We start from the raw sequence: 14,283 nt of genomic DNA, 5'->3' as shown, positions 1-14,283 counted from the left end.
AAGCATGTATTGGGTTCCTTCTATGTACCAAGGAATAACCTAGAGTTTTTGAGATACAAAGAGGTCATTTTTTAAGGAATTTACTGAGTATACCAGTATATTTCAGAAATTGTGCTTCATGTTGATGGAACTATGATGAGTAAGGCCTAGTCTCTAAGCTCAGGAGTGCAACATAGGGATTAGCTAAGTAGATAGCATATTTTGATATTCTGTGACAATTTGTTCCATGGAGCGGTACTAATGCACTATCAAGGGGGAGAAAAGGGGTAGCCTGCCCAGTGCAGGTCTGGGGATATGTTTAAGAAAGGCTTTCTGGATAAGTAGTAATAAACAGTAACAAATGTTGCTCTTGTCTAGGAGCATATTTGCACTGTTTCCTGTGCATTTGTTCCTTCTGGTCCTCTTCATTTCTTTCCTTTATAGTTAATTTGTGGAACACATTACTCCCAAGTGGTGGCACAGGCTGGACACAGTAACGAGTTAAAGACATCTGTAGATAAATTCCCAAAGGATGTTAGTCTAGACAAATCCTTATTAGATTGTTTAGAGAAAACCTATTGCTTTGAGGGTAAGCAGATTCTATTCTGATTTTTGTCTCAAAACATTTTGGGGGAGACTTCTGAAAAACAGAAAGATGAAACATTGGTTCTTTCTCCATATGATGTGGCCACTGGTGGGGGGTTATTCTTTCCTAATATAATAGGGCACTTCTGAATTTTATGATGAAATGCAGACTGGTTTTCATGACAGCAATGAAAACAGATGAATCAGCAGCCCCAGGAACAAGTCAGGGGCTGAAAATGACAAGGGGATGGCTCATGGCTGCAAAGTTATGAGCACACTTTAGGTGCAAAGCATGAGGGGTGAGTAAAACGCAAGGCTATGGACGCCTGATACTACCTGTTTATCTCCAACACCTCACATCAAAAGAGCTTCATTTGATGCCTGTGTATCTGCTCCAAAATGGTTATTTCGTGCCTTCTATTTCTCGTGAAATATTAAATTGAAGGTGATATAGATGTAAATCAAAGCAAATAGTCTCTTCTCCTATAGGTATTAATCAACCGAATGAAATCCCAGATAACTAAACAGAAATTATTTCATTCTGTGACTGGCATAGATCTGACTTAGAACTGTGAAGTTAATTATCTTAAAAATTGAGTCCTTCAAGGTCACTAGTTACCATATGAAACCCATTTACAAGAGTCCCTGTAATCCACGACATGAGAAACCACAAAAATCTGAAATAAATATCCAGCCAGCAAAGATAATCCATAACTGTACAGTGAAAAGAAAAGCTCTACTATGTTTTTTTTCCCTCCTTCACACATGGTTTAAATATTCAGTCCTCCATGTTCACTTGATGTAAGATTCTGTTATCATTATGAGGGAAACCTATAATATGCCGACCCTACAAAAAGCACTAAGCTCAATGACAAATACCGTCTTTATACACATAGAAAATCCAAGGCTCTTGTGGTGTAATGAGAGTAAACTGGGTAGAATTTAGTGGATGTAAGACTATTCATCTTAAAATACTCCACATCTATTTCAGCCTTATAAAAGAGCTTACTACTCCAAAAAGAATGGTTTTCTTTGAAACAGTGGGTGTTGGTTGTGTTTCCTCAGCAATACGCGTGTACCTGGGAGGCAGGTAGCTTGACAGAAAGACACTGGGATGTTATGTATACAAACAGATCCCTCAGAAGCTGTCACGTACCTCTTTAAGCAAAGTCTCTGGTCTCTGGAAGCCAACGTTTTTTTTTTTTCTTGTTTCTGCCCTACATTACACTTACTTTAATAATCTGGTGATAGGCTAGCAACCCACCTTACTCACAGAGCTACCTTTAGCAATTCTAGAGTTAAAATCATATAGAGAATCAGAAAACATCACCGGAAATGAAATAACTGCCTCCAATTTCCAAGGCAGTGGCTCCTGTGTTGGATCTCCTGGTGCCCAGCTGCTCCCTGCCCATGGGCCTTCTTATTTGGTCAGCTGGATTCTTATTTCCTGAAATCTCCCAAGTCTTGGCTGTGGCTTTCTTCCTCGCCTCTCACTCCAGCCCAAATTGCTTATGCTACCACTCACTCAGCACCAGGTGCAGTTGGCAAAATCCCTCCAGCACCTAGCTTGAGGGCAACCTTTCAGTTTTCTGAAAACTCACCATCCTTGCCCAAAAGAGATGACCTAGGCTCAATCTATCTAGACTGATAAAAAGGAAAAAAATGCAACCAACTGGGATTAAGAGACTATTCCCTGATACAACTCCACAAAGGAGTGGTCTTATCAAAAACACCGGTTTCAAAGATGTACCCGTATTTATTTAGTTTCACATCATAAATGTGGTGGGGAGACAGCAAGGTGACAGAGAGAATAACATTTAATGACCATTGTTCAAACAGCAGTTTCCATGATTTCACTTCAACTCTGTATTTTATTCCAGAAAATATTCACCTTTTGAAAAAATATCAAGAGAATTTCACTTAATTTGAAGAGAAAACCAGCAAGACTGAACCAAGAAGACAGATTTTTTTAGAAGTTGCTCTTATCATTGTTTTGATATGCAATTAGTAAAATTTAGTAAGAGTACTAATTGCCAAAAAGTTATAAAATAATTAGTTTTTAGCATAACTTGAACTAAGTAATTAACTATTAAGTATTAATAATAATTAAAAACGAGAAAAGTCAAGAATATACTTTTTCAAATGCTAGGAAACCAAACAAAATGGGTAGTATGTATACTTTAACACAAGGTAGAGATCTTGATCCTTAGAAATATTAAAAATAGCATCGGAAGATATAAACAAGTATTTTGGGGGACAACCCAGAGACCTCTTTTCTTTCACTGCCATTAGGATTATAGAAAAGTAGAAATGATTTAGTGAAGGCCACCTGTGACTTTGCCTCGGCTATTAAGGTACCATAAAAATATGATTAAAAGTTATAAAAAGACAATAAAGGAGAAGAAACAAAAAAGAAAATACTATTTTGGAAAGTGCTCATAAAAGCAGCAGTGGAGGAGAATCTGACACAAAAATAGTACTTTGAGAATGGCGGGGAGAGTTATAATTTGAACAAGATTATACTCTCTCATAAAGCCAATATTATTTTCATGCAATCAGTGCCTCACTAATGTACAAAATCTAACTTTATGAGATGCGGCAAAGCAGAGGAGAAAGTTGCCTTTGAATGATTACTCTGAAAGTCTAATCAAAGACATTCTCCCACATTATCAAACACAGATGTGCAAACCAAGGAGATGGTTTCTTATTGAAAAAGATTGGCAATAAGATTGAGTACCTTGAATCCAATTCATCTCCTCATAATACCAAATCCTACATATACCTGAGAGGCTCTTCAAAGTCTCCACACACAGAATAATGTTCAACACATGTTTGCCTGTGATGTGCTTTTAACCTAAACCCCAATCTTTATAAGCTGCTCCAGAAACCCAGGTCTTTCTGATATAACAGAGGCATATAAAGACTACTGATCTAACTAAAGAAACATTCATATGTTGGGATAGAGCTGAAGGGGAGCCAGATGAACCCCACAAACCAGAGGCCTTATGTCAGCCAAAACCCACTGGCTGCTTGGTGTTGGCTTGGGTGCGTTTTGGTGCCTGTTTATTGTGTGTTTACACTACAGGTTATAGAACTCAGGGAAGTCTGCACTCTATCAAGTGATATATTCAAATTAAATGCCCTGAAACACAATATCACTCTCCTCCTTTTGCTTCCTCTTTTTTTAAAAAAAAAAAAAAAAAAAAGAGAAAAAGAAAAAGATACATTTCCTTCCTTTTTTGGCTAACATATTTCCTTCCTAATATTATATTTTATTACTAGGAAGATGTTAGGTAACTGAGTGTTACCTACTCATTAATTAAACCTCAGCTTTCATTCTGAAGTTTAATTATATCTTTGATTTTTATCTCTGGAAAATGCTTATGGAAGAAGTTCTTAAATGCAAATAAATAATTAATAACCACTACTTCCTTTTTTATTTTTTAAATTTAGTTTAAGAAACCCTGTGTTGTAGTGATGTTTGCATCATGCTAGGAAGTGGATTTCTTTCCACAGTTTATTTTGAAAAAAATTATTGATGAAGTAAGAAACAACAAATTGGATGCTACTTACTATCTGACCATGGCAGACCTATCTCATGCCAGGAGAGCTTGGAGAGGCAGGATAAACAAACACCAAGTGAGATTACATATAAAATGGTGGTTTGGGTCTCTTTCTCACTTTTTCTGGGTTTTACCTTGAAGATTTAGTTGTAGTACCTATGATACATTTTGCATGCCCCAGACAATCAGCCAATGTAACAGTGCAAAAGAGAAAAGCTAAGGAGATTACCAATTTCTCTCTTATTTCCTGTAGACCCTTTTCAGATATCTTTTTCTATCTTTCTGCCCCAAAGTACAGGCATCATTTATTAATAAAGGACATCACACAAGGATGTGCAGGAGAGGCCAGTTGTTCAGGAAATGGCTATCATTTGGTAAATGATATAATAAACACATTATGATCTTTGATGCAGTGGGTAATGAGCCAGTACATATACAATATCAATGCTAAGATTACACTCTATCACCATACATATTTTTTATCTTACCTGAATTTTCCTCTTTGAGTTGATTTGATTTCTCAAAATTCAAGTCACCTTGTAGCACCATCTAAGACTTTTATTATTATTATTATCCTTTACTTTCCACTATTTTGTATCTATTCCAGTGTACAATAAAAATCTCCCTTATCTAACTGCTTTAGTTTATCACTTAAATGACAGAATTCAAAGGCAAGATTCAGTATTATGAGAATTAAAGAGCATGCATGTTTTTCAAAACCAGACATTATTCTGGAGGAATAAAATTCCCAACCTACTCTATTATTTCCAGAGTTCTAAGAGCTAACCATTTCCAAAGGGGCAAATGCCATCATTTTGTGCAGTGAATGGGAAACCGATATTTTAGGTAACTCTTGCCCACCTGATTCTTTGATCACCTACCTGCCATTTCCTTTTCATATTTAGTTAGGGTCAATGTTCAGTGATTCTCTTTCCTAACCCATCTGCTCTCTCTCCTGCCCATTCTAATCCTGCATGTTTTTGTCTTACTCCTTCACCAACACTTGGGAATTACTTCAGGTATTGAGAGCTTCATCTCTTCCGTGAGTGTGTGACTTTGGTATAGAAGAATGGATTTTGCACATGTTGCTGAAACATTGAGAATACGGAGAGGAGAATGTCAAGATCATCTCTAATTGTTGTTCAGTAATAAGGAAAATGTTCTAAGCACAAGTGATGAAGATATATTGCTTGTACTTTTCCTTCAAGAAAGAACTTGGCATTCAGCTGTGAGGAATGCAAATAGAGCTCACAGCCTGTAGCTATTACTTACTTACTGCCTTTAGGATCCTCCTCAGCTTCTGACTTGAGTCCACACTCTTCTGAGGCAGCTCTCGGTCATGATTGAGCACAGTGGGTGCAATAGGACCTGGCTGTTTTCTGCCCAGTGTTGAGCTCCTAGAACAGGGGATCTTTGGTCGGGAGCTCCTGTTGAGCTGGCCAAGACTCAGCAGATTTGCCCTGTGATTGAGGGCTCTCTGCCTAATCCTGCTTCCTCCCTTTTTTATCTTCCCCAGGTATGCCCCTCAACAAAACTTTTGCACTCCTATTTCTCAGCTCCTGCTTCCTGGAAGATCCAACCAGCAAACTCTGGCTACTGTTACCCACTTCTGAAAAGCTTCCTTTGTTTACAAATACTCCCCACGTCTTCCTAAATCACCAGGCAACCGGCAAGGTAGCAAATATTAAGAAGACAGAGACAAATAACACACATATCAGTAGGTTTGCCAAGACATCAAATGAAATGGAAAACTTGCAGTTTGTTTCTCAGATTCTTCTAAATTTGACAAAAAAATCTTTCATTAATCTCATTACTTTCATGCTGTTTGTACAAAGGGTTCTAAGTAAAGTATCCTAGGATTCTTCCTGATCCACTTCACCCCTTCTACTGTGGCAGTATTTTTTAACTACTGGCCTCCCATTATATTGTAGCTTCTTATTTCAGGCTATTTGGAATTTGTATTTCCAAGACTACCAAATAGCATAAATTTTTACAGCCTGGGTATTCATATAAAGGTTAGCTTAACCATGTTTACTTAACAATAAGTTACAGGTTATACTTAATTCAGGCAAATAACTACTTAATTTTAAGGGGTTATTTTACTCAAAGTTTTTATTTTTATTTTTATTTTTTAAAGAAGACAACCACCATTTTCAATGGATCACTGATCATCTTGAGTTGGACCCCTTACCAGTGTTCTACAGAGGTCGGCCATAGACTCTATATAATTTCATTTCTGAACCAATGATTTGAATGATAAAACAGTATCATTATAAAGTGTGATAACTACAACAATTTGAAGAGAGGTAACCAGCACCTTTGGCAGCAGTGGGAAAATTAAAACCTACTTTGACCAATTTGGAGAAGTGTTTTTGAATAAGGAATATGAAATTTAATGGAAATAAGTGGAAGGCAATGTGCTTACAAAAGAAAACCCAAGTGCATAAACACAAGATGGAAATGTACTCACTGTGTTCAGCCATGGTAGAAAAATATACAAGAGTTACAGAAGGCCACCCACCGAGCATTAGCCATTAGGATAATGGCGCTATTTAAAAAGGAGACAAGACACCCATATGCATGAACTGAAGGATAATGGGTGAGAGCTGTGAAGTCATCAACACATAGTCATTCCTTATTGATCAGGCCCTGACTGTGTGGAGACAGGAAAAATGTGGCAAAGATCAAGAGTACATGGGTGTGATCACATAAATGAAAAATGAAGTCTTTGGAGACAGTAATCTGGAGAAGGAATAGCTGCAGGGTGACAAAGTTTATAAGCTTCTTATAAAAAGGTGACCATATGAAGGATGGTCTTTGTGCTCATAACAGAGCTAACGAAAGCTTGTACTATATCATCAGGAATTTTAGGTAGAAAACTTAAATCCCATAGAAGCCTGGAAGGTACCTTAGCACAGTAAGCCAGGGGAAGCATGAAGCCCTCTTGGAACCTCTTTGATTGTCCCAATTTTGATGTAGGCATAAAATTATTTCCTTTTTTCCTCAACCCTGAAACAAGTAAGATAACTGAATAATCACAATACTAAATAACACCTGAGCCTCAGCTGTGGGGAGGCAAGGAGGCAAGGTAGAGACTATGACAAGCTGGAGGTCAGGTGCTTCAGCTAAATGGGCAAGCCATATTGTCAGATGGAATATGGCTCCAGGGGGGCCAGGCAGCCTAATTTTTCTAGGAGAAGCCAGGAATCTGCATTTATATGAAATTTATTTATTTATTTATTTATTTATTTATTTATTTATTTATTTATTTTGAGACGGAGTCTCACTGTGTCGTTCAGGCTGGAGTGCAGTGGCGGGATCTCGGCTCACTGCAACCTTCGCCTCCCGAGTTCAAGAGATTTCCCCTGCCTCAGCCTCCCGAGTAGCTGGGACTACAGGCGTGCGCCACCACGCCCGGCTAATTTTTTGTATTTTAGTAGAGACAGGGTTTCACTATGTTGGCCAGGCTGGTCTTGAACTCCTGACCTCAGGTGATCCACCTGCCTTGGCCTCCCAAAGTGCTGGGATTACAGGCGTGAGCCACCACACCCAGCTGCATCTTCTTTTTTTATTTCAAATGTGCAGTTTTCATTTTCCTAAAAGTACAAAACATATATGGTATTTTTGTAAAGCATCATAATTGCCACTGTGCCCTTGTAACTATTCAGTTTCTCCAGAGAATAATTTTCTGAAGAGAATATACTGGGAGTAGATTTTTATTTGATTCCCTGGTTTCAGTCCAGCTTCACTTTCTCTTATGCTCAGTGTCTTTGAAACTGGACCCTTTTTTGTTCAAATTCTCTAGGGTCATGAGGAGATAGGGAAAGGGGGTGAACTTAGCAGCATGGACTGGGGGAGGTTCTAACTTCAAATATAAACATTCAACTGATGGAGTTCAGGACATGCTACCTCAAAATATGGCACCTTGAGTAAACAGCAGAAGCAGGAAGGTCTCTCTGACCTCCTCCCACCCTCCTTAAGCAGGACATAAATGTTTTTTCTGACCTTTCTTTGAAGAAGGTCATAAAATTCTCATTCGAGAGATATCTCCTATACCCAGAAGAAAGAGACATCCATTTTTCTGAAGACACAGGGACAAAGAGAAGAATCTGAGCAAAGAGGTCTTGCTAAGTACCCCCAAGTTTATTACCATTAGATCATACCCTCTTTGTCCAATCATATTTCCCCAAGGCTGTCCACTTCGTCATACTTAGCATAAAAGTACATAAGGTTCCTTGTTTTTTTTGGGTCTTCACTTCTGAAGGCTCCTGTGTCACATAAAATGTATACTAAATGTATGCTTTTCTCTTGTTAATCTGTCTTTTGCTTTAGGGATCTCAACCATGAACCTTGCAAATGGGTGAGGAAAAGATATCACTTTTTCTCCTTTGCAAAACCAAACCATCTGTTTTCAGCTCCATGGTTATGCTGGCCCTGTTGGTAGTTCTGAAAAATACATTAAAATTGTTCTTTTTGAATGTGAAAATCAAACAAAAGTTAAATGCTATGAAGGGGGAGGAAGAGTTAAAAGATAAAATTCCTCGTTACCCAACTTTCAGACGTGAGCTTTTAGAATATATTTCCAGAATTCAGAACATTTTCTTTATGCCTGTTCTTTGGCATTCTACCCCCGCTATACCCACGCAATTTCACATATAGTCCAATTAGCTTAAGTGAGGGCAAAATGCCCTAAAAGCTTCAAATAAATACATAAACTCTACTGGAAAGACCATAAGGCTGACAGTACAGAAATAAAACCGGTGGCTCCCAGTATGTACCCCTGGGTGAGAACCAGAAATGCTCATTTGTTAGCTGAGGTATTGAAGAGTATGTTCCGCATTTCTAGGGAATGCCCATAGAAAAGGGTTGAAGTCAGACACACAAAATCAAGGACTACCTGGGACAGGTGGAGACTGCATGAATTCTGTGTCCAAAGTCATGCCAAGGAGTTGATGTCATAAGTTGATAGTCTGTGAGTTGCTCACAGCCTGTGTGATACTGGAAGGCTGAAGCATAGAAGTCATTTCACTGATCTATCATCCCTCTCCCTCCAGTATCATGCCTGTTTACCTCATTTCTCTCTTCAGGGTGTCACTAGTAGGTTCTCATTTAATATGTGTCTGTGTGCCTCATCCACTCCATATCCACATGCCTGTATGTCTCTGTCTTTTAACAGTTCCACGGCTTTTGGTCTCTGTGGCGTACTCTGTGTTACAACACACACACACACACACACACACACACACACAAACCAACTGACACATTTCCCACCTTCAAAGCTCAGATTTCTAACCATCTCCCATGATAAAATATATACCAGGCCCAGCAGCAACACCATTAAAAGATCAAACACCATGTATCCGCTGGAAGCTCTAATTTCTTAAGTGTTCTTTCCCTAACCCCCTACCACTTTTCTGCTGTCACTAAGAAAATAGCCTCCTTGCTGTTGACGATACTCTTCCCCCACTTAAAAGAGAAGAAAAGAAAAGAAAGTTCATGGCTGGCAACTTCAATTTCCGTTTTCTTCCATGTACATAGTATATTAAAACATCCTGTATTATATGGGGCCAAAGCAGGTGTGAGGAGTAGGGTCAGGCATAGGGGGTGAGGGTGGAGGAGAACTAGTTAAAGAGAGAAAGAGAAGATATTGTGGGTGGGGGGTGGTGGTAAGGAAGGCAGGGGGCAGAGGGACTGAAAAGAAAACATACGTCAGGAGGCTCAGACACAAGCACGCTGTTCTCCACAGCTGTGAGCCAGGCCAGGGTGACTGGACTGTGCTTTTATAAGAAATGTGTCAGATGCTTTGTAGTTACTACTTAATTTTACAGATGGTCAGAGAAAGTGCTTATGTTACTTGCCTAAAGTTACCATTGGAGGCTGATGAATACAAGATGTCTTAACACAGGACCTATGTGTAAGGCAGCAGAAACAATTGAAGGAGCACAAGTTTCCCTGTAGGATCTGAAGTTACGTGTTTGAAGCAATGATAGCAAAGCATGTCTGAAGGCAAATTGGTGAAAATCAATCACATCAGGACCATGAAGTCAAGAATCTAAACAGCTCCCTAACTCCACTCTATGGCTGGCTTTCTAAGAGTCACACCATTTTTATCTCCTTCATGCTCGGAGCACATGTTATTGGCTATCAACACAAAGCTGGGGAAGGTGCCAGAGATAAGGCTGAGCCTGAAGCTGATTCATTGAGGGCAATTAGGAGATATTTGATGGGAACACTTTCCTACAGTCGGGGGCTTCATCCACTTAGTCACTTGGGCATTGCTTTCATTAGAAACTGAAGTAATGCAGAGAAGTAAGACGACCTTAGTCATAATGAGGATATTTATTATAAACAGACTTGAGACATACAAGATTTAGCATTGAGGATAATGCTGATAGAAATGAATTTTGGGAGTTTCCTTCCTAATGAAAAGCCAGATAAAGGAAAAGAGATTTAGTCATTCTGTGTTGCCAAATTGGTAAAAGCTTTTGAGGACAAAGTAATAATATAGATATTGCCTGGGTAACAGACAAAAGAGATTCCAGAAAAGATTGTGGAAAGCAATTTTCCGTTAAATTAATCTTGTTTTCTCACTGACTTACATTATAAAATCAAAGATGCATGGTGATGAGAAAAAAATGTTGACACCTGGATGGAATAAGGTTCAAAGAACACAGTAACTCAGGTAAAATAAGGTATTTTAGGACACGTTTTTCAGGTCAAAGTAGTTCTAATATTAAATACTAAAACATCACTAATAATACCATGATGTAATCAAAGAAATCACAACATAAAACACTGACAATGAAATCAGAGTAAATTCTCAGAAATTCTCTGGTCATACAGCTGCATATGCTGCTCTACCTCATGTTGCTCCTATTTGGAGTCTTGCAGTCTCCAAAGTTTTAGTAATTTGTCTAAGCTTTTCATCAGCCTATAACACATGAAGAGTTTTAACTTCATATTCAAGGTAATTTTAAAACAAAGAAATGAAATCTCTATTTTATGTCAACTTCAACATACTTCATGTTGGTCTGGTTGCTCTGAGATATTTGGAAGCTGTTTACTTCTTTAAAGATGTGTTGCTCTAGTAGACATCTGATTCTTGTTCTTCATTCTCCTTCTGTATAAACTACTTATAGGTTATTGAAACTAATCCACAGAAAAATTAAATTGTAGAGACGGGATATTAATCTGTTTTGTTCACTTACATCTTCCTAATGCCTATCAGAGTGCCTGCATATCAAAGACAATCAGTAAATATTAATTGAATATACTAATGAATTCAATCTTCCCTCCCATCTATTCCTTCCTCCCTTTAGTCATACAGAAACATTTTCTGTCAGACACTGTGCTAGAGGCTGAGGATACAACAGACAGTGGATAAAACAGACACAGTTCCATGCCCAGATGGAACAATGAGTAATTTTTAAAACTGGAGAAATACAGTCATATGCAATGCTGTTTTGATTAACTAGGGACCACATACATATATGACAGTGGTCCCATAAGATTATAATATTGTATTTTTACTGTATCTTTTATATATTATTTACCTATTTTTCCTTTTATTTTTAGTTGATGTGTAATAATTGTACATATTTAGGAGTAATACAGAGTGATATTTTAATATGCACATATAATGTATAATGACAAAATCAGGGTAATTAGCATATCCATCATTTCAAACATGCATCATTTCTTCGTGTTGGGAACATTCAAAATCCTCTCCTCTAGGTTTTTGAAAAATATACAATAAATTGTAGTTAACCACATTTAACCAACAGTGCTGTCGGAAGCTATGATTTTGAGTCTGTTAACCAACCTCTCCCTACCCTCTCCTTCCCCCATGCTTCCCAGCCTCTAATAGCCACAATTCTGGTCTCTACTTTCATGAGCTTAAACATTTTTTTTAGCTTCTACATATACATAAGAACATGCAGTATTTATCTTTCTGTGCCTGACTTATTTTGTTTAACATAATGTCCTCCAGGCTCATCCATGTTGCTGCAAATGACAGAATTTCACTCTTTATATGGCTGAATAGTATTCCATTGTGTATATATACCACATTTTCTTTAATTACTCATCTGTTAATGGACATTTTGGTTGATTCCATATCTTAGCTATTGTGAACAGTGATGCATTAAACATGCGGGTGCAGGTATCCCTTTGATATACTGACTCCTTTCCTTTAAAAATACCCAGTAGTGGGATTGTTGGATTGCATGGCAGTCCTAATTTTAATATAGATTTTAAACCACTATACTGTTTCCCATAATGGTTCTACTAATTTACATCCCCACCAACAGTGTCTAAGAGTTCCCTTTTCTTTAGCATTTTTTATTTTTTTATTTTTTATTTTTTTGATCATAGCCATTCAAACTCGGATAAGATGAAATCTCACTGTGGTTTTGGTTTGTATTTCCCTGATGATTAGTAATGTCAAGCATTTTTTAATGTAATTGTTGGCCATTTGTAGGCCTTCTTTTGAGAAATGTCTGTTTAGCTTATTTGTGCACATTTTAATTGGATATTTGTTTTTCGGCTGTTGAGTTATTTGACCTCCTTAGGTGTTCCGGATATTAGTTTCTTGTTGGATGAACAGTTTGTAAATATTTTCACCCAGAGTGGAGTGGCCTCTTCACTCTGTTGATTGTTTCCTTTACTGTCCAGAAACTTTTCAGTAAACTATAATCCCATTTGTCTATTTTTGTTTTTGCTGCCTGTGCTTTTGATATCTTAGCCATAAAATCTTTGACTAGACCAATATTCTGAACTGTTTCCCCTGGTTTCCTCAAGTAGTTGCATAGTTTGGGATCTTACCTTTAAGTCTTTAATTCATTTTGAGTTAATTTTTGTATATGGTGAGAGATTTGGGCCTGGTTTCATTTTTCTGCACACAGATATCAAGTTTTCCCACACCATTTATTAAAGAGGGTGTCCCTTCCTGAATGTATATTGATGCCGTTGTTGAAAATCAGTTGGCTGTAAATATATGAACTCATTTCTGGGTTCTCTATTGTGTTCCATTGGTCTATGTGTATGTTTTTATACTAATATCATGCTGCTTTGGTTATGGTAGCTTTGTAGTCTATTTTGAAGTTGCAGTGTGATGCCTCCAGCTTTTTCTTTTTGCTTGGGATTGCTTTGACTATTCAGGGTCTTTTGTGGTTCTACGTAGATTTTAGGAATTTTTCTATTTCATTTATACCTTTATACAGAATAATACTGTATAAGATCTTCAGAATTAATAATGTTAAAATGACCATACTACCCAAAGCAATCTATAGATTCAATGCAACTCCTATTGTTACCTTGTGACAAGGAGCTTAGAGAGCATTTAACAGGGGGATTCATTCTAGGTAGTGGTTTTTCAGTCTCTACTTAAAAATATTCAGCAATATAACTCTCTACTTAGAATAAGGAAGATCTCTTTTAGGACACACATAATTGTTTCAAAGTTCATCTTAGATTTTAAAAAGATACATTTTCCTGTTTATTGTCTATATTAATTGCTTTACTTCTGCCTCCTTCTCCCCTGTCTTCCAAGGGACAGGCCTTGGAATCTTTGAACACAGCAATTATAGCTCTCCTGTTTTCTCTTCTCCAGGTCAAATGTTTTGTTTCTTCAGTTATTCTCTATATAAAATTGGTCACCATCCCGGTCGGTGTCCTTGTTGCATGTTCTTAAAGCACAACTTATAGCGCCCGTAACTGAACAAAGTCAGCAGGATAGGAAGTCCAATTATCTCTCTCTGGATGCCATGTGATTATGAACTCCATCTATGCTTACTTTATTTTTCTTAGCAGACATGTTGCTGCACTACTGACTAAAATTAACATTACATTTAACCAAGCCAATACCTCCAACACTTTAAATTACATGTGGACCATTTGAAAAACTAGTTAAAACCAATTGTCAAATTCTAATTCAGTAAGCTTGAGGTGGGTTCTCAGATAATTTCTACCAATTCTCAGGTGCTAGTCCACAGACCACACTTTTAGTAGCATAGAAGTAAACCACTGAAGGCCAAACCACCTCAATCACTACCTGAGTTGTGTCAATTATTTTTGTAAATCTATTTGAGCTACTAAACTTCTCCTTTTTAAAATTAATTCACAGTTTTATATTTTTAAATCTTGATACAATAACACT

General features: G+C 37.5%; 1 protein-coding gene across 17 annotated transcripts in view, besides 1 other annotated feature; it reads right to left on the bottom strand.

Annotated features, from left to right (window-relative positions):
• PARD3B (par-3 family cell polarity regulator beta) overlaps positions 1-14,283 on the bottom strand; it is a 1,074,688-nt gene that overhangs the window by 266,592 nt on the left and 793,813 nt on the right. The window contains exon 21 of one of the 17 annotated variants that reach the window (XM_011510553.3): positions 8,235-8,573. The exons of the other annotated variants lie outside the window; for them this stretch is intronic. Within the exon in view, the coding sequence (XP_011508855.1) occupies positions 8,465-8,573 (109 nt within the window). The 3' untranslated portion in view covers positions 8,235-8,464. Of the gene's footprint in view, positions 1-8,234; positions 8,574-14,283 lie in introns of those variants that run through there. 17 annotated transcript variants of the gene reach the window in all.
• Positions 6,424-6,957: an enhancer, noted in NCBI's record as "NANOG hESC enhancer chr2:206211338-206211871 (GRCh37/hg19 assembly coordinates)". NCBI's record gives its function as "activates a minimal SCP1, AML or CMV promoter by ChIP-STARR-seq in naive H9 embryonic stem cells {active_cell/tissue: H9 hESC(naive)}" and the evidence as "EXISTENCE:reporter gene assay evidence [ECO:0000049][PMID:30033119]".

The sequence above is a fragment of the Homo sapiens genome, chromosome 2 (assembly GCF_000001405.40).
Source record: "Homo sapiens chromosome 2, GRCh38.p14 Primary Assembly".
Lineage (NCBI taxonomy): Eukaryota > Metazoa > Chordata > Mammalia > Primates > Hominidae > Homo > Homo sapiens.
This window is presented reverse-complemented; position numbering and strand designations above follow the sequence as displayed.